The sequence below is a fragment of the Homo sapiens genome, chromosome 6, assembly GCF_000001405.40.
Source record: "Homo sapiens chromosome 6, GRCh38.p14 Primary Assembly".
Lineage (NCBI taxonomy): Eukaryota > Metazoa > Chordata > Mammalia > Primates > Hominidae > Homo > Homo sapiens.
In genome coordinates, this window is record NC_000006.12 from 121192185 (window position 1) to 121217617 (window position 25433).

At 38.7% G+C, this 25433-nt stretch overlaps 1 protein-coding gene across 22 annotated transcripts in view; it reads right to left on the reverse strand.

Annotated features, from left to right (window-relative positions):
* Positions 1–25433, reverse strand: part of TBC1D32 (TBC1 domain family member 32) — a 255236-nt gene that overhangs the window by 112691 nt on the left and 117112 nt on the right. For 20 of the 22 annotated variants that reach the window (XM_047418311.1, NM_001367759.1, XM_011535570.2 and 17 more), the window contains one exon: positions 12891–12979. The exons of 1 other annotated variant lie outside the window; for it this stretch is intronic. In XM_047418311.1, coding sequence (XP_047274267.1) covers positions 12891–12979 — 89 coding nt within the window. Of the gene's footprint in view, positions 1–190; positions 359–12890; positions 12980–25433 lie in introns of all 22 variants that reach the window. One more of the 22 variants, NR_104452.2, reaches the window with a different exon arrangement.

Sequence of the window (25433 nt, forward strand, 5' to 3'; positions counted from 1 at the left end):
TTGGGGTTTCTGGAGTTGGCTGCTTAATATGTTCAGATCCAAAAATGCTAAGGACTCTACTTGTAATAGTATGGAGAACACTGATATTCCTTGGCATGAACTGTTTAGAGAGTTACATAAAATAAATAGATTTGACACTCCTGATTCACCTCTCATGAGAGGAAAGGAGTTTAGTGACTCTACATAATACCTTTGACCATATGTGGAGAACCAAGGAACATAATGAAGTTGGTTGGTTGCTCCTAAGTTCAGTGGACAAAGTAATGAAAGAAAATGATGAACTCTGGGATTCTGTCTCCTGGCTTCAGAAGCTGAGGCTCAAATCCGCTAAGATTGCCCATAGTGAGTGGCTTATTTCCTGTAGAGAAAGAGATGAAACTGTAGAAAAACACATGCAAGCTCTTATGCCAGTGGCTGACCTGCAACAAAATGTGCATGCACAGCCTCACCAGATATCTACTGTTAAAGTGAGGTCATTGATTGGAAAAGAATGGGACCCTGCAATTTGGAATGGAGATGTGTGGTAGGACCATGATGAAGCTGAGGACACTGAGTTTGTAAACTCAGATGAAACTTTTTTGCCAAAAGAAACAGCTTCCCCATCCCCAGTAGTGGCAACATCTCCTCCCTGACCCATGCTGCCATCAGTCTTTCCATCTTTGTCTGAGGAGACAAACCTTGTGCTACCTAAGACAACAATGATGGCCTCCCCTGAGACAGTTGCCCAGAAAATAATGTTGATTCTCCTCAGGAGCCACCTCCAACACCCCTGTTTACTTCTAGACATATAACTAAAGTCCTGGCAGGCCTCTAGAGGTGAGATTGAGATTGTGACCCAAGAGGTGGTGCACTACACTAGAAAAGAACTGCTTGAGTTCTCCAATCTCTATACACAGAAATCTGGAGAACAGGCATGGGAATGGATATTAAGGGTATGGGAAAATGGTGGGAGGAACATAGAATTGGATCAGGCTGAATTTATTGATTTAGGTCCACTAAGTAGGGACTCTGCATTTAATGTTGCAGCTCAGGGAGTTAAAAAAGGTCTAACAGTCTATTTGCTTGATTAGCTGAAATACAGATTAAATGATGGCCCACTGTGAGAAAGCTGGATATGACTGATCTCCTTTGGTTTAACATAGAGGAGGGGATCCAACATCTTAGGGAGACTGAGATGGTGGAGTGGATTAGTAACTAGACCTACTCATCCCAGTTGGGAGGGTCCAGAAGATACACCCTTGACCACTGCCTTGTGAAATAGATTTGAGGGCTGCACCTGAATCTTTGAAGAGCCCTGTAATTGTTCTTCTCTGTATGTCAGGTCTAACAGTGGGAACTGAAGTCATTCAACTACAAAATTTAAATACAATAAGAATAATTGGATCCCTATGTGGCAAGGGCCAAGTGGTGGCACTCAACCATCAAAGGCAAGGTGGGCCTAGCTACCGTAATGGACAACAGAAACAAAGCAGCAAACAGAACAGTCTGACTCATGTAGAGCTCTGACATTAACTAATTAATCACAGTGTTTTCAGAAGTGAAATTGTCGGGAAGCCTAATGCATTCTTGCTTAATTTATATTAGCAGAAAACTTTTAGGTCAAATGGACAAAAGATTAATTTGAATTATAAAAAGAGAATCACAGCGCCTCAATCAATTTCCAGACTGGAGCCAGTTTACAGACCCAGAACCCCTTAAGTGAAGGAGAGACTGGGTCCCCCTGAGGAAGCACCCCACTTCAGTACCAACAATCTAGGCTGTGAATATTTCTCCCATCCTTCCCTAAAGAGACCTTCAGCTTTGTACCTTCAGCAATGTAGAGGGTAACTGTGAATTGGGGAAAGGAAAATGATCAGACATTTTGGGAACTACTGGACACTGGCTCTGAGCTGACATTGATTCCAGGGAAAAAAAAACATCACTGTGGTACTCCAGTTGAAGTAGTGGCTTATGGAGGTCAGGTAATTAACGGAGTTTTAGCTCACGTTGACTTACAGTGTGTCCAGTTGGTCCCCAGAATCATCTGTGGTCATTTCCTCAGTGCCAGAATGCATAATTGGCATAGACATACTTAGAAGCTGGCAGAATGCCCACATTGACTCTCTGACTGGTAGGGTGAGGGCTACTATGGTGGGAAAGGCCAAATGGAAGCCATTAGAGCTGCCTCTACCTAGAAAAATACTAAATCAAAAACAGTATCACATCCCTGCAGGGATTGCGGAGATTAGTGCCACCATGAAGGACTTGAAGGATGCATAGGTGGTGATTCCCACCATATCCCCATTCAACTCTCCCATCTGGCCTGTGCAGAAGACAGACAGATCTTGGAGAATGACACTGGGTTATTGTAAGCTTAACGAAGTGGTGACTCCAACTGCAGCTGCTGTACTAGATGTGGTTTCATTACTTGAGCAAATTAACACATCTCCTTGTACCTGGTATGCAGCCATTGACTTGGCAAATGCCTTTTTCTCCATTCCTGTCCATAAGGCCCACCAGAAGCAATTTTTCTTCAGTGGCAAGGCCAGCAATATACCTTTACTGTCCCACCTCAGAGGTATATCTCTCCAGCTTTATATCATAATCTTACCCAGAGAGAACTTGATTGCTTTTTGTTTCCAAAAGATATCACACTGGTCCATTACACTGAGGACATTATGCCTATTGGATCCAGTGAGCAAGAAGTAGCAAACACACTGGAATTATTGCTGAGACATATGTCTGCAAGAAGATGGGAAATAAATCCAACTAAAATTCAGGGACCTTCCACCTCAGTAAAATGTCTAGGGGTCCAGTGGTGTGGGGCCTGTCGAGATATTACTTCTAAAGTGAAGGATAAGTTGCTGCATTTGGCCTCTCCTACAAACAAGAAAGAGGCACAACACCTAGTGGGCCTATTTGGATTTCGGAGGCAACACATTCCTCACTTGGGTGTGTTACTCCAGCCCATTTATTAAGTGACCTGAAAGGCTGCCAGTTTTGAGTGGTGTCCAGAACAGGAGAAGGCTCTGCAACAGGTCCAGGCTGCTGTGCAAGCTGCTCTGCCACTTGGGCCATATGATCCAGCAGATCCAATGAGGCTTAAGATATCTGTTACAGATAGGGATGCTGTTTGGAGCCTTTGGCTGGCCCCCATAAGTGAATCACAGCAGAGGCCTCTAGGATTTTGGAAAGTCCCTACCATCTTCTGCAGATAACCACTCTACTTCTGAGAGACAGCTCTTGGCATGTTACTGGGCTTTGGTGGAAACTGAATGTTTGACTGTGGGTCAAGTCACCATGTGACCTGAACTGCCTATCATGAACTGGGTTCTTTTTGACCCATTAGCCATAAAGTGGGTCATACACAGCAGCATTCCATCATCAAGTGGAAGTTGTACATATGTGATCGGGCTCGAGCAGGTCCTGAAGGCACAAGAAAGTTACATGAGGAAGTGACTCAAATGCCCTTAATTTCCACTCCTGCCACCCTGCCTTCTCTCCCCCAGCTTGCACAGATGGCCTCATGGTGAGTTCCCTATGATCAGTTGACAGAGGAAGGGAAGACTAGGGCCTGGTTCACAGATGGTTCTGCACGATATGCAGGCACCACCTGAAAGTGGACAGCTGCAGCACTAATAGCCCCTTTCTAGCACATCCCTGAAGGACAGTGTTGAAGGGAAATCTTCCCAGTGGGCAGAACTTCGAGCAGTGCACCAGGTTGTGCACTTTGCATGGAAGGAGAAATGGCCAGATGTGTAATTATACACTGATTCATGGGCTGTAGCCAGTGGTTTGGCTGGATGGTAAGGGACTTGGAAGACACATGATTGGAAAACTGGTGAGAAATAAATTTGGGGAAGAAGTATGTGGATGGACCTCTTTGAGTGGTCAAAAACCATGAAGATACTTGTATCCCATATGAGTGCTCACCAACAGGTGACCTCAGCAGAGGAGGATTTTAATAATCAAGTGGATAGGATGACCCGTTCTGTGGACACCATTCAGCTTCTTTCCCCAGCCACCCCTGTCATCACCCAACGGGCCCATGAACAAAGTGGCCACTGTGGCAGGGATGCCATGGTAGCAGGGATGGAGGTTACTCATGGGATCACCAACATGGACTTCCACTCACCAAGGCTGACCTGGCTACGGCCACTGCTGAGTGCCCAATTTGCCAGCAGCAGAGACCAACACTGAGTCCTTGATATGGCACCGTTCCTTGGAGTGATCAGCCAGCTACCTGGTGGCAAGCTGCTTACAATGGACCTCTTCCATTATGGAAAGGGCAGAGGTTTGTCCTCACTGGAATAGACACTTACTCCAGATATGGGTTTGCCTATCCTGCACACAATGCTTCTGCTAAGACTACTATCCGTGGACTCATGGAATGCCTTATCCACTATCATGGTATTACACACAGCATTGCCTCTGACCAAGGCACTCACTTTACGGCTAAAGAAGCAGGGCAGTGGCTTATGCTCATGAAATTCACTGGTCTTACAATGTTCCTCATCATCTTGAAGCAGATGGATTGATTGATAGGAGGGTGGAATGGCCTTTTGAAGTCACAAATACAATGTCAACTAGGTAACAATACTTTGCAGGGCTGGGGCAAATTCTACAGAAGGCCACGTGTGCTCTGAATCAGCATCCAATATATGATACTGTTTTTGCCATAGCCAGGATTCATGATTCCAGGAATTAAGGAGTAGAAGTGGAGGTAGCACCACTCACCATCACCCCTAGTGATCCATTAGCAAAATGTTTGCCTCCTGTTCCCACAAGATTACATTCTCTTGGCCTAGAGGTCTTAGTTCCAGAGGGAGGAACATTGCCACCAGGAGACAAAACAATGATTCCATTAAACTGGAAGTTAAGGTTGCCACCTGGATACTTTGGGTTTCTCCTACATTTAAGTCAACAGACTAAGAAGGGAGTTACAGTGTTCACTGGGGTGACTGACCCAGACTATCAAGACGAAATCAGTCTACTACTCCATAATGAATGTAAGGAAGAGTATGTACGGAATACAGGAGATCCATTAGGGCATCTCTTAGTATTACCATGCCCTGTGATTAAGGTCAATGGGAAACTACAACAGCCCAATCCAGGCAGGACTACAAATGGTCCAGACCCCTCAGGAATGAAGGTTTGGGTCACTTCACCAAGAAAAAAACCATGACCTCCTGAGGTACTGAAGGCAAAGGGAATACAGAATGGGTAGTAGGAGAAGGTAGTCATCAATACCAGTTACGACCACGTGACCAGCTACAGAAAAGAGGACTGTAATTGTCATGAGTATTTCCTCCTCCTTTTGTTAAAAACATGTTTGTGATTGTATACACTTGTACTAAGACATTATCTTCATTTTATTTCCTTTTCCTTTATCATGTGACATAAGATTTATTGACTTCATATCAGCATTTAAGTATTGTTAACTTCATGTAATAGTATTTGGGTTCAGGATTGAGGCGTTTCTGAGTGTAAGAAGGATAGCTGTATTATGTTAGGCGTAATTATGATCTTATTATTGTCTTTATTTGAAGATTATGTATAATCTCAGGAGATGTGTATGGGTTCAAGCTGACAACAGGTGGACTTGTGATGGTTAATACTGCATGTCAACTTGATTGGACTGTATGATACAAAGTACTGATCCCGGGTATGCCTGTGAGGGTGCTGCCAATGAAGATTAACATTTGAGTCAGTGAGCTGAGGAAGGCAGACCCACCCTTAATCTGGTGGGCACCATCTAATCAGCTGCTAGAGAATATAAAGCAGGCAGAAAAACATGAAAAGGTGAGACTGGCCTAGCCTCCCAGCCTACATCTTTCTCCTGCGCTGGATGCTTCCTGCCCTTGAACATTGGACTCCAAGTTCTTCAGTTTTGAGAGTTGGACCGGCTCTCCTTGCTCCTCAAGTTTGCAGACAGCCTATTGTGAAACCTTGTGATCAGGTAAGTTAATACTTAATAAACTCCCCTTTGTAGATATATAATATATATACACATATCCCTTTGTGTATAATATATATTTTATATATTATATATATGTGTGTATAATATATATAAATATATATATTATATATATATATAATATATATATATAATATACACACACACACACATATATATGTATCCTATAAGTTTGGTCCCTCTAAGGAACTCTGACTAATACAGGGCATATTGAGTTTGTGGAGCTTGCATGATACACAGATCCAAATGCCACATAAAACTTGCAAATATGCTCAGGACAGGCTTAGGGCTGGACATACAGATATAGGGGTAGTCAGTAAAGAGTGACCGGCCTGGCACGGTGGCTCATGCCAGTAATCCCAGCACTTTGGGAGGCCGAGATGGATGGATCACGAGCTCAGGAGATGGAGACCATCCTGGCTAACACGGTGAAACCCTGTCTCTACTGAAAATACAAAAAATTAGCCAGGCATGGTGGCAGGCGCCTGTAGTCCCAGCTACTCGGGAGGCTGAGGCAGGAGAATGGCATGAACCCGGGAGGCGGAGCTTGCAGTGAGCCGAGATCCCGCCACTGCACTCTAGCCTGGGCGACAGAGCGAGACTCTTGTCTCAAAAATAAAAAATAAAAAAAAGAAGTGATCATCGAAGGCACTGTAGATAAAATGGAGGGTGAACTAAAGACATAACTCTAGGAGACAATTCAAATTGAAAGTTTAATAAAGGAGGAAAATAAAGAATTAGCAAAAATGAACGACACAAAAGGAATCCCAAAATAAAAGAGAATAAAGTCACTGATGCTGCCAAAAAGACTGTATCTAAGAAAGTATGGCACTTAGCAAAGACGCAATAAATATTTTCTGAATGAATGAACAAAAATGAAAGGAATACATTTCATTAAGTAGGCAGAATATAAAATGCTACAGAGAGCTCAAGAAAATTAAATCATAATAAGGGTGTAGATAAAAATACATAAGGTTGGAAAATGTGCCTATCCTTTGACTTAGCAAGTGTATTTCTACAGATTTGTTGTGGAGCAACAATTATAAACATCAAGATATTTATCCATAGATATTTAAAAATAAAAAAACACCTACGTGTGTAAAAACAGAAAATTGAGATTCAATCGTGTACTGGAATATTACTTAATCCTTTAAAATTATGATACAGATTAATATTTATAGGTGTGAATGGATAATTTTAAATACTGAAGTAAAAAAGGAAGTCTCAAAACAATAACACTCCTATTTTTCAAAAAAAAATCTGTAGCTAAAGATCAAAATATGAGCATAATAGGGTTAACAGTGGTTACCATGAAGAGGTAGGGTAATGAGTGTTGCTTTCTCCTTTTGTTTTCAGCATTCTTGAATTTTTCTATGTAAACAAGAATTGTTTGATTAAATTAGAATTTTGAATTAGTTACTGTCTTCAATCAGTAATCGATCATTTTATTATTTTTATTATTAACTTGAAAAAATAAATTCTAGATGTGTGTGTATATGTATATATGTATACATGTGTATATAAAATCTAAAATATGGATGGTTTTGTCATCATGTTATATTCTAATTTCTGATATTAAAAAAAGATTACAAGAGGTAATTGTGAGATTATTTCTTGTTACTAAGGTTAATCACATTTAAGTCTAGTTAGCAACTGGGTCACTGGAAATAAATAATTTGGTGATTTGTTGTGATGAAATACTAACATTTGGCTATGTTTGTTACTTGTTAAAATAACCAAACTGCTTTTAATTACACTAATTTTTAAAACAAATATGAATTTTTAACTTTTCATATTAAAGTCATCTCAGAGGTCAGACTTTTTTAACAAAGAAGCTAATGATGCATAAACCTGTTCATTGTACTATATATAAAACTTACTGTTGGTGGGTAAATATAAAATAATAACAAATGGCAAATGATTAATTTTAAAGGCTGTTCTGTAAGTATAGACTCCCAAGTTTTGTTTTTAAGAAAATTAACAATAAATAGGCCACATTATAGTTTCAAATGAGCAAAGAAGAAATAGGTTTTAGAAGGACAATATTAACATTTTTAAACCATGTTAAATTTTAATATATATTTAACTAAGAGTTACTACGTAAGATTTAAATTGTTAAAACTAAGTACATCTTTAGCATTGAAGATAATTCAAAGTTAAAAAAAAAGCTGCAATTCCACAGCCTATAATAAAACTTAATGTGGTCAGTTTGATATAAAGAAAACTATTAATGTTAAATGATGATATAATGTTTCCCCACGATATTTACAGCTTTTGTTTTGAAATAAAATGTCCAAGAAGGAATATAACATTACTCTAAACCTACTAAAAATGGTTAAGAAAAGTTTAAGCTGCTAAGCCTTGGGCAGTATCAAAAGTTTCCAGGCAACTGTTTTAATCAGTCAGCAGATTTAACAAATAAATGCTAACCAAATAACTCAAAACGATCTGGCAATGTGGTAGACACGAAAGTAGAAGAAAATAATACTCCCTTAGGAAACTGAAGTTTTATTCAGAAGAAGAAATAAATTAACTATTAAATCTGTGGGAAGGACCATAAAGGCAAGAGGCATGCAAAGAGAAGACAAGATCAGAATGGGCTATAAGTAATTCATAGAGCAAGCTTTGTGTTGAAGGATGGGTTGAATTTGTATAAGTAGACAAAAGCAAAGACAGTAGTCAAGACATAAAAAACAAGTACAGAAGCAGGAATAAATGCTGTTTTGTCCTTGAGGGAGATAAGGAGTCTAACCTCCTCGGAGCATTAGTTCAGGCTAAGGAAGGGTAGGAACTATTGTACACAGGAAAGGTAGAGATACATTAGGGTAAGACACACAATGGTGTCCAGAATTGCCAGTAACTTAAAATGATAAAAGATGGGTGAGGGCTTTATAAGAACATGTTTCTTTTCTGCCTTAATTACTTCACATTCTTCGATTAACTAATTATCTTACTCCTCACTAGATAACAAGGTTAAAGAGAATGAGCACCACATCTGATTCACTCATCATTGCATTCCCCATACTAGCACAGTCTGTAGCTCAGAATACGTATTCAATAAATACTGGTTGAGTAAATATAGAAGAGTACATTTTTAAATTGTAAATTTACTGTGTAGTCATACATAAAAGGCACTTCACATATTAGGTAACTACACTGAAAAATGCAGATTAGCTTATTGCTTAATCACACTCCTGGAGAGGGAGGAAGATAGGGTCTCTGACTCATGACGGTGGGTTAGGAAATGGGCAAAGGAACTACTTTTTAACACAGGTGAGGACAGGGGAAGTGGGCAGCTGACAAGAGCATGAATGTCTTCATCTATCATAGCAGAGTTGATCAGTACTGTCCAAAAGTGAAAAATCACACTCAAACCTCTTGAAATGTTTTACACAATGTTTTCTCTTTACCTTAGAGGAATCTCTTCGAAAATAATGACCCCTGGAGAGAAAAAACAGTTATTTGAAATTCAGCAATTCCTTCAGTCTCACACTGGGGCTTCTTTTTTTTTGTTTTCCTATAAAATTCAGTTCAAATTTAAAGTGGCAACTGTACTATAATTCTATTTTTATAAAAGAATTTATTTTTATATATCTGCATATCTTTCTGTCTGTATATGTACAGAAAGATGCCTAGAATGATTTTCCACAGTGTTAATAATGACCGTTTTAGAATTACAAGGAATTTCATTATATTTAATTTTCTGCATTGGTTAATTTATTTATAATAAAGATCAACTATTGTTTAAAAAAACAGAAAAAAGTTATGATGACTTTCAAAATTAAGCAATTAAAGAGACGGTTGGGTCACTTAATGAGACAGAAATGAAAGATGTATTTTGTTTGTTTTTGTAGAAGGAGGTTTGGGAGACCCAAGAGTTCAATTTTCAACATGTTTAAGTGAGAAATGTATAAATTGAGATGTCAGAAGGCAGGTGTATATATAGGTTTGGTAGCTGAAAAGAGAGGTCTGGGCTAGAGATATAAATGGGGGCATCTACTAGCATATAAATGATATTTAAAGGCAAATGTTTAAGTGTAATAAATTAAGAGTAGAGTGCACAGAAACCTAGGATCCTTGGTCCTGGGTCCAGGACTAAATCCTGAGTATTCCAACATTCAGAGGTTGACTAGAGAATGAAAAAAAAAAAAAAGAAAGAAAGAAAAAGAAACCGCAGCAATAAGAGTGTGTGATACACAGAAATGAAGAGAATTTTTCACACAGGAAAAAAAAAAAAATGGTCCCCTATATCAAATGCTACTGACAGTTATAGTAAGATGAGAAAAGAGAAGAATTCACTAGATTCATTAGCATGGAAGTTACAAGTGATCTAGCGATGAGCAGGATGAATAGTTCTGACAAAATTATAAAGTCAATGTCAAATCAAAGTGAGTTGAGTAAATACGGGTGAGCAACTGAGGACAGTTTGTATAGACATATTTTGCTATATAGATCAGTGGCTGCAAGGAGACACAAGGTCAAGGATATTTCTTTGGGTGGTTTGTTGTATTTCATTGTAAGATGGGACATATGAAGGCATGTCTTCACACTAATAGGAATGATCTAGCATAAAAGGATAAGTTGGAAGAGGGAGAAAAGGCGTAGGGGTGAAGGAGGGAGGCTAATCAAAGGAGCACCCTTCTTGAGTATTAGTCATTTACAATGTAAGATTTGTAAGATCTTGGCAATTTAAAATTCAGAACTTTAAACAGAATGTGATGCTGTTCACGCCACATTTCACTAAGCCTCATATTAGCTTCATCTGAGTGTTGTGATAAATAAGTTGTACCAAGCATTACACTTAATGCTACTGCTACAGTTTTGAGGCAGAAGAAAATATAAAGCAAATGGAACAAGCAATGAAAAACATAGATTCAGACACATTAATGGATAATCCACTGAAGAGAAAGGTACAAGGAAGGCTTAACTAGAAACAAACAAAAAATACTATGGGAATAAGAGAGAAACATATGGGTAAAAATCCCAAACACACAGAAACACAAGGTTTATGAAAAATGCAAAGCTATGATCTAGATTTATCACCATTAGATATCAATGACCAATAATAGAAATTAGTAGAAAAATGAAAGTAAATTATTAGCTTAAAATGTATGACTTACAAATATACCTGACCTAAAGATTATTATGAATAGAAATCTCAAAACTACATTTGTGTAAGAAAAACTTGTTAAAAAGCCAATAAGGTTAAAATACAAACTTTTCCTCAAAAAGTAATTTTGTCATTTTCTCTTTTTGAATGCTGATACAAAACAAGCAAATTACTAGGTAGCATGTTTATGACTACTGAGATACCGAAAAAATGAAGACAAAAATTATTTCATAGTAAAACACAAAAACAGCATAGATCAAGTAGATATAAAGAAAGACATGAAGAACTGCTATTAGAACTATTAATACTACTGTTTTTACAGTGTTTTCTGTGTGCCAGGTACTATTTTAAGCCTTTTTAATTTTTCATATCAATTATGAAAATAACTCTGTAAGGAAAATAATGTAATTATCCTCCACTTTACAGATGAGTAACTGAGACCCCATCTCACACAACCAGTAAAGAGCAGGCAGTTTGATCACAACGTCCATGTTGCTAACCACCATACTGCACTATTCTTTTATCTATCAACAATGGGACAGTAAATTCTTTACAGTAGCATAGAATGATAACATTTGGATATTATGAGAAAGCACATACTATGAAAATTAATGTATGTTATTCCCAGGAGCATTTCACTTCTTGGATTGCTTTTTATATAACTTAATAAAGTCTTATTGTTAAATCTTCTTCCAAAGAACACTACAGAAAATATTATTCCATACAAGCAAGAAAATATACAGGAAAAAAAAAAAGAAATTTGCTCAGTATATCAACAACAAGAGGCCAAAATCGATGTTCTATAACTGCAAAACTCAGAAACATACTTGTTATGCAAAAGGAAATTCTACTGTAGTTTTTCCTAGTTTCCCCCATCAAAACTTGCTATCTGATGTATCTGAGACTATAGACTAAAAATTAAAATTTAATGTGAAAACACATTTTGAGATAAAGGGCACGCCACCCAAAGAACTACAATAGTAGCACCTTTGTTATACCTTCTTTGTACTATAAAGTCCAAACACGAAGCTCATCTATTAATATACGGTTAAAAGTTAAAAATATACTATCATCAGAGAATTCTAACTTTAGAAAAATAATTGCTTCCTTTCTTAGGTGGCGAATTATCATTGATCTCCCTCAAGTCTAAAAAAGTTACTTTGCTAATAGAAAAGAAAGAAAAATCATGAAACTATGAAAATGGAAAATTTCCTTAATTCACCTGCTTTTAAAGGTAGTAATTTACAGGAAGGGAAGCAAATTCTATGTTTACATATGACCAAAAGACTGTGAATTTCATGAGTCCCTGTAGCCCTACCAACTACGCCTTATTTCCCATTTGAACATGGAAAATAAAATGTCAAGGAATATGAACTCAACTAGAAAGATTTAAACTTCAGGCAAAGTAAAGTTGAAAAGTAATGATTAACACCAAAGAGCAAAACTTGGGCCTCAGGATAAATCATCCTTTTCTAGGCCTCTTTTGAGGGTATATTGTGACAAGAATCTAACCAAATACCAACCCAGGGAAGGTCAAGTTGACTCCTGAGTACACTAAATGAAATAGTCCCTAAAATGCCTCTATTAAATTAGGGAATGGGAGACACTATAATAATATAGAATCCAAATTCAGACAAAGGCCATGGTACACATATCTAATTGCCTTAATTTACTTTGTTTATAATGTTACAGGAAGACAAATTACCTTTAAGCATGCTTTTAAATATTAGCTAATTTTAAATACTTTTTTAAAGTATACAGGACAAATGCTTATTTTTTGTGGAACATAAAATATAATATCAAAAGTAAAATGTAGCATTTTACCTTAGACCAAAGATATGTGATTGTTCATAGTTGAATAAAGAACGAATCTTAGCTTCAGAATTCAAAATTATAAGTCTATCAATAATATCCTGAAAAAGACAGACAAAATGAGACTGTATTTAACTGATATCATTTAAAGAAAATTAAGTCAACAACAATTTATTTAGATTTGTGGCTCTCAAATTTGCCTTTACAAGGAAATCACCTGGGGAGCTGTAAATAATAAGAAGAAGAAGAAGAAGAAGAATAATAGTATAATGCCTGGGTCCTAACCCTCAAAGTTTCTGAATTAACTGGTCTGAGTGTGGCCTAGATTTACATTAGGACTGTAAAAGTTTCCGAAGTGAATCCAGTATTCAGCCAAAGTGGAAAACACTGATTTTGACCCTACTCTGGCACTAGTGAGCACCTTATACCATCAGTTAAATACTGATAAAATTGCCAAAAATGTAAACTACTTTGAAAAACAAATATAAAATCCACAAATTAGAAGAATGAACAACGGATCAAAATGTTGTAACTAGTAACTAGATTTTCTCAATAGAGACTATCTGCCTCATGTAAATCAGTGGTTTCCAACCCTGGTTGAACATTAGACTCACGTAGGGAACTTAAGAAAGATACACAGGTGCCCAGGCTCAACCCCAGGCCAATTAAATCACTATGTCTAGGGGTGGGAATCTGGCATCAATACTCTTTTAAAAGCTCCCTGTGATGTTCCAGTGTGTAGCCAAGTCTTCAAAACCACTGATGCAAATATACACAGAACCTGATGATCTAGGTGCCAGCAGCTGTCCTAGCACTGACAATTTTAGCCAACCACACAATTTTGAACATGTTTTAAAAGGCTTTCTTGGCCAGGTGTGGTCGCTCATGCCTGTAATCCCAGCACTTTGGGAGGCCGAGGTGGGCAGACCACAAGGTCAGGAGTTCGAGACCAGCCTGGCCAACATGGTGAAACACCGTCTCTAGTAAAAATACAAAAATTAGCCAGGTGTGGTGATGGGTGCCTGTAATCCCAGCTACTCGGGAGGCTGAGGCAGGAGAATTGCTTGAATCCAGGAGGCGGAGGTTGCAGTGAGCCAAGATCATGCCACTGCACTCCAGCCTAGGTGACAAAGCAAGACTCTGTCTCAGAAAAGAAAAAAAAAAAAAAAAGGAAGGCTTTCTTTCTACAATGCCCTGCTTTTACATATATCTTTGGGTTCAGGCCTAAGAAATTTATTTATAGACAAATATATATCTCTCTCATTGCTCATTTTCCTGACCAAGAAACTTGCTACTCTCCAGTGAGTTTAAATTCAGGATATTTCTGTTACCAATAGGGCAAAAGAAGAAAGGTTTTGCTAGGGAGTAAAGTCACATAATATTTATTGAGGAATTTGTGGCTTATGGTACAAAGACTATTTCATCAAATTAAAAAAAGAGGCAAAGGAATGAGTTTGTAAAAAGAAAATAATAGATATTTCAAAATCACACTTGAAAAACACTAATCAGATACTGATCAATATTAATACAACAACTGGACTGTGGGTAGAGCTACCTAGTAAAAATTTGTACCCAACATATAAGAATATATTTACCATTCTATAGATTATTTTGTAGAAGTGTGTAAATAATACTAGCATGAGAGTTTAAATTGGTAAATATTAATAGACTACCTAGTAATGATGAATAAAAAGACTATTATTTTTAAATGAATTGTTGCTGTTATCTACTACTTTGCTGGGCACTACTTGCTTCAAACATTACAATAGAATGTGAGCTAAACAACTCATATTCATATTCCCAGCTGCACAGTCACTCTCATTAATTGCATCACAACTCTTTCTATCTCCTTTAACCTCTCTACTTTTTCCTGAATTAGCTACATGACAGAGCCACAGAGATTGCTATGACTTGCTCCAGCATCTGAATACTATTAAATAAATAGTCTTTGCCCTGGACATAGTGATGAAACTTGTTTACTATCTACCTATTCTACAAATAGGTAAATGTTTTATTACTTAATAATTATTGTAATTTTAGAGAAATGACCTATTATCACTATTTTTAACCACTGTTAATCTTCACAGAACAATCCAGAATTGATTAGGAATCATTATACTTCTTGTACCTGAGGTGAGAGAGGTTGCCAATTAGTTCTATGCATAGTAGTTTCTAAAAGTATTATAATAAATATTTCTTCAATAGTAGGGAATTCGTATAGGTGACTGAAATTTGCAGGGCTATTTGAATATAATGCAGAGCTCAAACTATTTGATAGCCACTGACATCTTGTAACTGAGATTCTAGTTCTGAATCTAAGTACTAGGTACTGTTATAATAAAAATGATAGACTGTATTACCAACAAGCTAATGGAAGAGTAGATTACAGTAATCTATCAATGAGAATGCATTTTCAAAGAACAAATGTTATGGCAAATAATTTTTTCAAAGAAGAAGATTACATTGATGTATCACCACTTAGTGAAAAAAACAAAACTCCTGGGAAGCCTCATGGAGAGCTTCAGTTTCTAAACACCATAACATGTGTCAATAAGGGAATCAGCTTCCTAAATCAAGAAGCAGCTTCCCAGCAACAAACTAGTGCAAGAAGACCCAGGACTTACAAAAAGTAGACAGAAATTCTGTATATTTTTAAAAGATACTGTCCAGCTTGAGAATATTTTCAATAACCTACTAGGTCAGACTGAGGCCATACTGGAAAAACAAAAAGGAATATCAGTTCTATATAAAGATATGTTTGAGTGCCTACTGTTTACAACTGCCCCAATAGCTAGGTTTGGGCTATGTGACTGACTTGTTTTTTTGAAGAAATAGGCAAGTGAAGGGTGAGGACAGGTCAAATGTAATGTCCCAATAGTTCCGCACTTCCACTTCTAGAAGTGGCTTATGATTGGTTAGCCTATGAATAAAACTAAGCTAATCAAACTCCTTCCTTGGGATTTTTCAACATGGAAAAGTAGAGGAAAAGGCTGCTCTCCTGTTTGGGGTTTTAGAGAGTTAAATGGTGACCCCTCACACACACACCAAAAAAAAAAAAAGATATGTCCAAGGCCTAATCCCCAGAACCTGTAAATGTCACCCTATTCAGAAAAAGAGTCATTGCAGAGGTTAAGAGTCTTGAGGTATGTATTAGCCCATTCTCACGCTGTTAATAAAGACATACCTGAGACTGGGTAATTTATTTAAAAAAAAAGGAGGTTTAATTAACTCACAGTTCAACATGGCTGGGGAGACCTCAGGAAACTTGCAATCATGGTGGAGGGGAAAGCAAACACATCCTTCTTCACATGGCAGCAGGAAGGAGAAGTGTGGAGCAAAGTGGGGAAAAGCTCCTTATAAAATCTTATGAGAAGTCAGTTGCTATCATGAGAACAGCATGGGGGAAATCACCCCATAATTCAGTTACCTCCTGTCAAGCCCCTCCCATGACACATGGGGATTACGGAAACTATAATTCAAGACGAGATCTGGGTAGGGACACAGCCAAACCATATCATCCTGGATTACCAAAGTAGACCTTTAATCTAAGACAAGTGTCCTTATAACAGAAAAACAGAGGGAGATTTAAGACAGAGAAGAAAAAATAGACATGTAAAGATAGAGGCACAAACTGGATTTATGTAGCAACAAGACACGAAACACCTGGAAAAAAAAAAAAAAAAAACAGAAATTAAACCAAAGGATTCTTCCCTGGAGCCTTGGGAGGAAGCATGGCCCTGCTGGCACCTTGTTTTCAAACTTCTGGCCTTCAGAATTGGGAAAGAATAAATTTTTGTGATTTAAAGCCACCCAGTTACCCGGTTTGTGGTAATGTGTTACGACAGACCTAGGAAATTAATAAAAGGGGAGAGGGTGAAGATATCCCCATAGAATAACAGGTAGCCCCTCCTATGGGGAATGGAGGACTATGGAATCCTCTCCTATGGAGAATACCATCTAGAGAAGAAGAGAATAATTATAGCAAATATTTATATATCACTTATTATCTGCCAGGTAGTGATCTAAAAGCATTTAGTCTTCACAACAACCCTGAGATGAAAATATTACAGCTCTTCTTAAAAAAAAAAAAAACTCACTTCATTGAGGTATAATTGACATAAATAAGCTATACTAATACTGTATAAATTTGATAAGTTTGGAGATATGTATACACCTGTGAAACCATAACCACAATCTATGCCATAAGCCCATCTATCACCTCCCAAAGTTTCCTCCTGCCTTATTGATTAGTGTGTGTGAGAGATAAGAACATTTAGCATGAGATCTGCCCCCTTAGCAAGTTTTTAAGTATATAATACTGTATTGCTAACTATAGGCACTATGTTGTACAGTAGATCTTTAGGATTTAATCATCTTGTATAACCAAAACTTCATACACTTTGACCAATACTTGCCTGCTTTCCCCCTTTCCCATCCCTAGCCACCACCATTCCACTCTCTACTTCCACGGGTTTAACTATTTTAGATTCATCATACAAGTGGTATTATGTGGTATTTGTCCTTCCTGTGTCTGGCTTATTTCATTTAGCATAAGGCACTCTTGCAACAAGAAAAAACTGAGGTCTAACTTGTTCAGGGTCACACAACTAGTAAGAGGCAGAACCAGGAAACTAATGCAGGCAGTCTGGCTTCAGAATTCAAACTCTTAACCATTATTACCCTGTGCTTGCCTTTCAACAAAGTCAACATGAAATGCAATAATAAGCAAAGGTGGAGGGCATAGGAGGACAGAAACAGAGAGACAGATGTAGACCTGACAGCACTTGCAGTCCTGTTTCCAGTTGTCCGTGCTTTTTCTGAAAGTTAGTTATATAAATCAAAAAATGTCCCATTTTGCCTAAACTAATTCAATTTGCATCTTTCTACCTAATACAATACCATGTTTACACATCATTATCGTAGAGCTGGATGGTAAGTCATAGAAACTGAAAGCAATTAAAAAATTGTGTATATTAAAGGAAAAGGGTATTTTGTATCATTCACCTTTAATTTAATAAAGTACAACTTGAGAGTTGTTCACAGGCGTTAGAATTTTGGTAGATACCTGACATGAAGCCATGAAAAGTTAAGACCTAATATCCCTAAAAGCTAAAGAATCTCTTAAAATTTAGAAGAAAAAGAACTACACAAATAGAAAAACAGGCAAAAATGAATGAAAAGACCATTAATGGATAAGTAAATGTCAATGGCTATTAAGCATAGAAAAGGATGTTCTGTTCAGATGAAAAAATACATAAATTAACATTTTTCACTTGTCAGACAAATATCTAAATTTTTGAACACATAATCTTCTTAATCAGCCTACCAGGAAACAGGCACTATAATATCTTACTGACGGGAATGCAAAAGGATTATTCTCTGTGAATGGAAATCTAGCAACAAGAACCATATACTGGAATATATTACACGTGAATTTACCTTTCAACCCAGTAATCATGCTTCTAGAAATCTAGCCTGAAGATACTGTGGTAGGCAGAATTCGAAAATGGCCCTCAAGATTCTCAGGCCTCAAACACAAATGCAAGCACTGCTGTGAAGGAATTTTTGCAGATGTAACTAAAATCCTTAATAAGTTGACTTAAAGATAGGAGATTATGGGGGTGGGCTTGACCTAATCAAACAAGCAATTTAAAAGTGGAATTTTGTCTAACTGGTCACAAAAGGTCAGAGAGATTCAAAGAATGAGAGAAATATGGTATAAGGGAAGTTCTCCAATTCTGAAATGCAAAAGGACAACAGGACAAAGACCCGAGAGTAGCCTCCAGAAACTACAAAGAAGTCCCTAGCTAACAGCCACAGAAAATTCAGGCACACCATACTGAACTTCTGACCTACAAAACTGTGAGTTAATAAACGGGTGTTGTTTTAATCCACTGGATTTGTAAGAATTTGTTATACGACAATAAAAAAAATATAGACACACTGGCAAGTACAATATAAGCCAAGGCTATTAATTTTGGAATCATTTATAATAATAAAAGACTTGAAAGAACCCAAGTGTCCACCAGTAAAAGACTGGATAAACTCTAGCACATCCACATAATGGACTATTATGCAACTGTGGGCGGGGCGGAGGGAGGGGGCGGCGAGGAAAGGATAAGAAAGAGCTCTGTATACTGCTATAGAGTCATCTCCAAGATAAGTAACAGAAAAATGCAAAGGGCAGGTGAGTATAGCAGGCTATATTTCACTTACATCTAGAGGGAAAGAAAATATGGATTTTTTAAAATTTCTAAACAGTTGTATTTATTCCAACAAAAATAAACGTCACTTTCATTTACCAGGGAAATGAAATCCCTGGTGACTTCTGAGATTCTAATGAACCCATCACCCAAGCAGTGTACACTGTACACAGTGTGTAGTCTTTTATCCCTCACCCCTCTCCTATCCTTTCCCATTGAGTCCCCCAAGTCCACTGTATCATTCTTATGCCTTTGCGTCCTCATAGCTAAGATCCCATATCTGGGTGAGAACATATGATGTTTGGTTTTCCATTCCAGTGTTACTTAACTTTGAGTAATCGTCTCCAATTCCATCCAGGTTGCTGTGAATGCCATTATTTCATTCCTTTATTATGGCTGAGTAGTATTACATGGTACCTATATACCACATTTTCTTTATCCACTCGGTGATTACCCAGCCCCATACAAGTAAAATGCTGTGGAAGACCCGCTGGAAAGACTACACCCCTCACTGGTTTGGGGAACACCACTGTCCCAGTGGAACCTTGACCACACCCTGGAGCCCCCTACTCTTCCTCTCTGGACCTGAGCCAAACTGTGAGTGTCACAGAGCAAGGATAGTATGTGCTCCACTCAACACTGCACACACAGTTCCTCGACCACAGTGCCGAGCAAATGGCAGGCACTCCCTGTGTATCTGCTGAATAAATAAATGAATGAACAAACACAACACACACACACACACACACACACACACACACACGACAAAAGGGACGTAGTTACTGACCTAACAGAAATACAAATAACAATCAAAGACTACTATGAACATCTCTATGCAAACAACCTAGAAAACCTAGAAGAAATGGATAAATTCCTGGACACATATGCCCCCCCAAGACTGAACCAGGAACAAAGTGATTCCCAGAAAAGGCCAATAACAAGCTCCGAAATTGAATCAGCAATAAATAGCCTACCAACCAAAAAAAGCCCAGGACCAGGTGGATTCACAGCTGAATTCTACCAGATGTACAAATAAGAGCTGGTATCATTCCTAATAAAATTATTCCAAAAAACTGCAGAGAAGGACTCCTACCTAACTTACCTAACTCATTCTATGAGGCCAGCATCATTCTGATAACAAAACCTGGCAGAGACACAACAAAAAAAACTTCAGGTCAATATCTCTTTTTTTTTTTTTTTTTTTTTGAGATGGAGTTTCCCTCTTGTTTCCCAGGCTGGAGTGTAGTGGCACAATCTCAGCTCACTGCAATCTCTGCCTCCCAGGTTCAAGCAATTCTCCTGCCTCAGCATCCTGGGTAGCTGGGATTACAGGCATGTGCCACCACACCTGGCTAGTTTTGTATTTTTAGTAGAGACAGGGTTTCACCACGTTGGGCAGGCTGGTCTCAAACTCCTGACCTCAGACCTCAGGTGATCCACCTGCCTCGGGCCCCCAAAATACTGGGATTACAGGTGTGAGCCACCGCACCCAGCCCAGGCCAATATCTTTGATGAACTTGATGCAAAAATCCTCAACAAAATACTTGCAAACAAAATACAGCAGCACATCAAAAAACTAATCCACCACCATCAGGTAGGCTTTACCCTTTGGATGCAAGGTTGGTTCAACATATGCAAATCAATAAACATAATCCATCACATAAACAGGACTAAAGACAAAAACCAAATGATTATCTCAATAGATGCAGAAAAGGCTTTCAATAAACTTCAACATCCTTCGTGTTAAAAACTCTCAATAAACTAGATATTGAAGGAACATATCTCAAAATAATAAGAACCTTCTATGACAAACCCACAGCCAACATCATACCATTCAGGCAAAAGCAGGAAACATTTTCCTTGAAAACTGGCACAAGACAAGGATGTCCTCTCTCACCATCTCTATTCAACATAGTATTGGAAGTCTTGGCCACAGCAATCAGGTAAGAGAAACAAATAAAGGTCATCCAAATAGGAAGACAGGAAGCCAAACTATCCCTGTTTGCAGACGGCATGATTCTATATCTAGAGAACCCCACAGTCTTGGTCCAAAAGCTCCTTCAGCTGATAAACAACTTCAGAAAAGATTCAGGATACAAAATCAATGCACAAAAATCACTAGCATTCCTATACTCCAACAATAGCCAAGTCAAGAGCCAAATCAGGAATTCAATCCTATTCACAACTGCCACAAAAATAATAATAAAATAAAATAAAATAAAATAAAATAAAATAAAATAAAATAAAATAAAATAAAATAAATAAAATAAAATAAAATAAAATAAAATAAAATAAAATAAAATACCTAGGAATACAGCAAACCAGGAAGATGAAAGAACTCTACAATGAGAATTACAAAACATGGCTTAAAGAACTCAGAGATGATACAAACAAATGGAAACACATTCGATGCTTATGGATAGAATCAATATCATTACGATGGGCATACTGCCCAAAGCAATTTATAGATTCAACGATATTCCTATCAAACTAACAATGACATCCTTCACAGAACTAGAAAAAAACTATTTGAAAATTCATATGAAACCAAAAAAGAGCCTGAATAGCCAAGGCAATCCTAAGCAAAAAGAACAAAGCTGGAGGCATCATGTTACCTGACTTGGAAGGACTATAGTAATCAAAATAGTATAATATTGGTACAAAAATAGACACACAAACCAATGGAAAAGAATAGAAAGCCCAGCAATAAGACTGCACACTTACAACTATCTGATCATCAACAAAGTTGACAAAAACAAGCAATGAGGAAAGAACTCCCTGTTTGATAAACGTGCTGAGATAACTGGCTAGCCATAAGCAGAAAATTGAAACTGGACCCCTTTTCCTTATATCATATACAAAAATTAGCTCAAGATGGATTAAAGACTTAAATGTAAAACCCAAAACTATAAAAACCCTGAAAGACAGTATAGGCAATACCATTCCAACATACAAACAGCCAAAGATTTTGCCTTTGGATGCTTGGAGTGTTGATTCACCAGCTGGAAACCTGTGTGGCCTGTGGCACCTTTGCCTGAATTTTGCTCAGGCCCACTGGGCTCATTCCACCCATTCGGCCTGGCAAGCTGTGCTCAGCTCATGCTACCAACCCAGATCCCATGCCTGCCCAGGATGAGCCAGACATGAAGTGGTGAGGGTTATGTGTGTGAGTGAATGAGCATGGGGTCCAGCCACTGCTCAAAACCAGGCAGGCCAGCTGCAGCAGGGTGGGCAGCTGCAGGCACTGGCATGGGTGCCAGCTCCCTGTGAGGCTGCACCTAGACAAGGCATAAAGCAAGCAGCTTCTACTACGGGCACCAGGGAACACAGCAGGGCCCAAAATCCTGGAGATGCCAGGAACCACAGAGCCCCAAAGAGGGTGTCACAGCCATGGATCAAGGATCTCCTAGATCTGGGCTACATGAAGGGCTAAAGCTCTTCTCTCTTTCTCTCTTCTCTCCTTCTCATTGCCCACAACAGGGTGAGCATGAGCAGGAGGCATGTTTCGGTCCTGTTTGTGTTACTGCTCTTTCAGTCCTCCCATTTGGTGGGTTCCAAGCTCTTGTCCCACATCCAGGAAGAATGAGGTATGTAGACAACTGGAGGGTGAGCAAAGCAAAGAGGTGCTTTACTGAGCAACAATACAGCTCTCAGGAGACCAGAAGTGGGTAAAGACTTTCTGCAGGCACCAGCCTGCATGTCTGCTCAGCACTCAGCTGAGAGAAGACCCACAATGTATATCTCCTCTCCACAGGCAGGTCATCCTGATGTCTGCTCAGCTCTCAGCAGAGAGGAGATGCACAGGCATAGCTCCTCTCCACAGTCAGGGTGTCCCAACATCTGCCCAAGTCTGGCTGAGTCTGGGGCTTTTATGGGCTTCAGAGGGAACAAAGTGCATGCTGATTGGTCCATGGGCAACCACAGTCAGGCTCGGAAAAAGCACTGTAAGTCCTCACTCCAGTCTGCAGAATTGGCAGCTCGGCCCTCATACTTCAGGCCAACCATGGCTTGAAGGTGGGGCTTCACCAGGGATCCACCACTATCTACCCACAGGCAGCTGAGTGCCTGCAGCTGTGCCTGGGAGGGTGGGACTCCCACCAGCATCATGGGGCATGCAGGCCCAGCCTTGTCTTCCACAATGAAGCTGGCATCATGGCAGCCACTGCTCCAGATGGGCCACCACTGCCATCAATTTCATGACAAAGACGCCAAAACCAATTGCGACAAGAGCAAAAATTCACAAATGGGATCTAATTAACTTTAAGTGCTTCCTCACAGCATAAGTATCAACACATTAAACAGACAACCTATAGTATGAGAGAAAATATTTACAAACTATGCATCTGACAAGTATCTAATATCCAGCATCTATAAGAAACTTAAAGAAATTTGCAAAAAAAAAATCCCATTAAAAGGTGGGCAAAGGACATGAACAGGCACTTTTCAAAAGAAGACATATATGTGGCCAAGAAGCATACGAAAAAAGCACAATATTACTGATCATTAGAGACATGCAAATCAAAACCAAAATAAGATGCCATCTCACACCAGTCAGAATGGCTATTATCAAAAAAGTAAAAGAGTAACAGATGATGGTGAAATTGTGGAGAAAAGAGAACACTTATGCACTATTGCTGAGAGTATAAATTAGTTCAACCATTGTGGAAAGCATTGTAGCAATTGTCCCCAAACAGCGATAAATAGAACTACCATTCAACCCAGCAATCCCATTACTGGGTGTGATGGTTAATACTGAGTGTCAACTTGTTGAATTGAAGGATGCGAAGTATTGATCCTGGGTGTGTCTGTGAGGATGCTGCCAAAGGAAATTAACATTTGAGTCAGTGGGCTGGGGAAGGCAGACCCACTGTTAATCTGATGGGAACCATCAAATCAGCTGCCAGCAAATATAAAGCAGGCAGAAAAACATGAAAAGACAAGACTGGCATAGCCTCCCAGCCTACATCTTTCTCCCGTGATGAATGCTTCCTTCCCTCAGATATCAGACTCCAAGTTCTTTAGTTTTGAGACTCAAACTGGCTCTCCTTGCTCCTCAAGCTTGAAGGCAGCCTATTGTGCCTTCTGATTGTGTAAGTTAATATTTAATATACTCCCCTCTATAGGTATATTTATGTCTATCGTATTAGCTCTGCTCTCTAGGGATCCCTGACTAATACAGATTTTGGTACCAGGAGTAGTTCTAGAGGAAGAGAATATTAAGGTTGGAATTCTTTCATTGGTTTTGGGGTTTCTGGAGGACTCTATTTCTAAAAGTATGGAGAACACTGATAGTCATTGGCGTGAACTGTTTAGAGAGTTATGCAAAATAAATGCATTTGACACTCCTGATTCACTGCTCATGAGAGGCAAGGAATTTAGTGACTCTATATGTAATACATTTGACCATATGTGGAAAACCAAGGAACATAATGAAGCTGGTTGGTTGCTTCTAAGTTCAGTGAACAAAGTGATGAAAGAAAATGATGAACTCAGAGATTCTGTCTCCTGGCTTCAGAAGAAGATACTGAGCCTCAAATCTGCTAAAATTGCCCTGATTGAGAGTTTTATCTCCTGCAGAGAAAGAGCTGAAATTGTGGCAGAACCCCCACATAGGCTCTCTGACTGCTAAGGTGAGGGCTATTATGTTGGGAAAGATAAAATAGAAGCCATTACAGCTGCCTCTACCTAGAAAAACACTAAATCAAAAATAGTATTGCATCCCTGGAGAAACTGCAAAGATTAGTGCCACCATCAAGGACTTGAAAGATGCAGGGATGAGGATTCCTAACACAGCCCCATTCAACTCTCCCATTTGGCCTGTGCAGAAGACAGATGGATCTTCAAGAATGCTACTGGATTATCCTAAGCTTAACCAAGTGGTGACTCAAACTGCAGCTGCTGTACCAGATGTGGTTTCATTGCTTGAGTAAATTAACACATCTCCTGGTATGCAGCCACTGACTTGGCAAATGCCTTTATCTCCGTTCCTGTCCATAAGGCCCACCAGAAGCAATTTGCCTTCAGCTGGCAAGGCCAGCAATATACCTTTTCTGTCCTACCTCAGAAGTATATCAACTCTCCGGCTTTGTGTCATAATCTTATCCAGAGAGAACATGGATAAGGTGAGACATGGAATCAACCTAAATGCCCATCAATGACAAATTGAATAAAGAAAATGTGGACATATATACCATAGAATACTATGCAGCATTTAAGAAGAACAAGATCATGTCTTTCATGGCAACATGGATGGAGCTGGAGACAATCTAATACACAAACAGAAAATCAAATACCACATGTTCTCAGGTATAAGTGGGAGCTAAATGATGAGAACTCATGGACACAAAGAGGG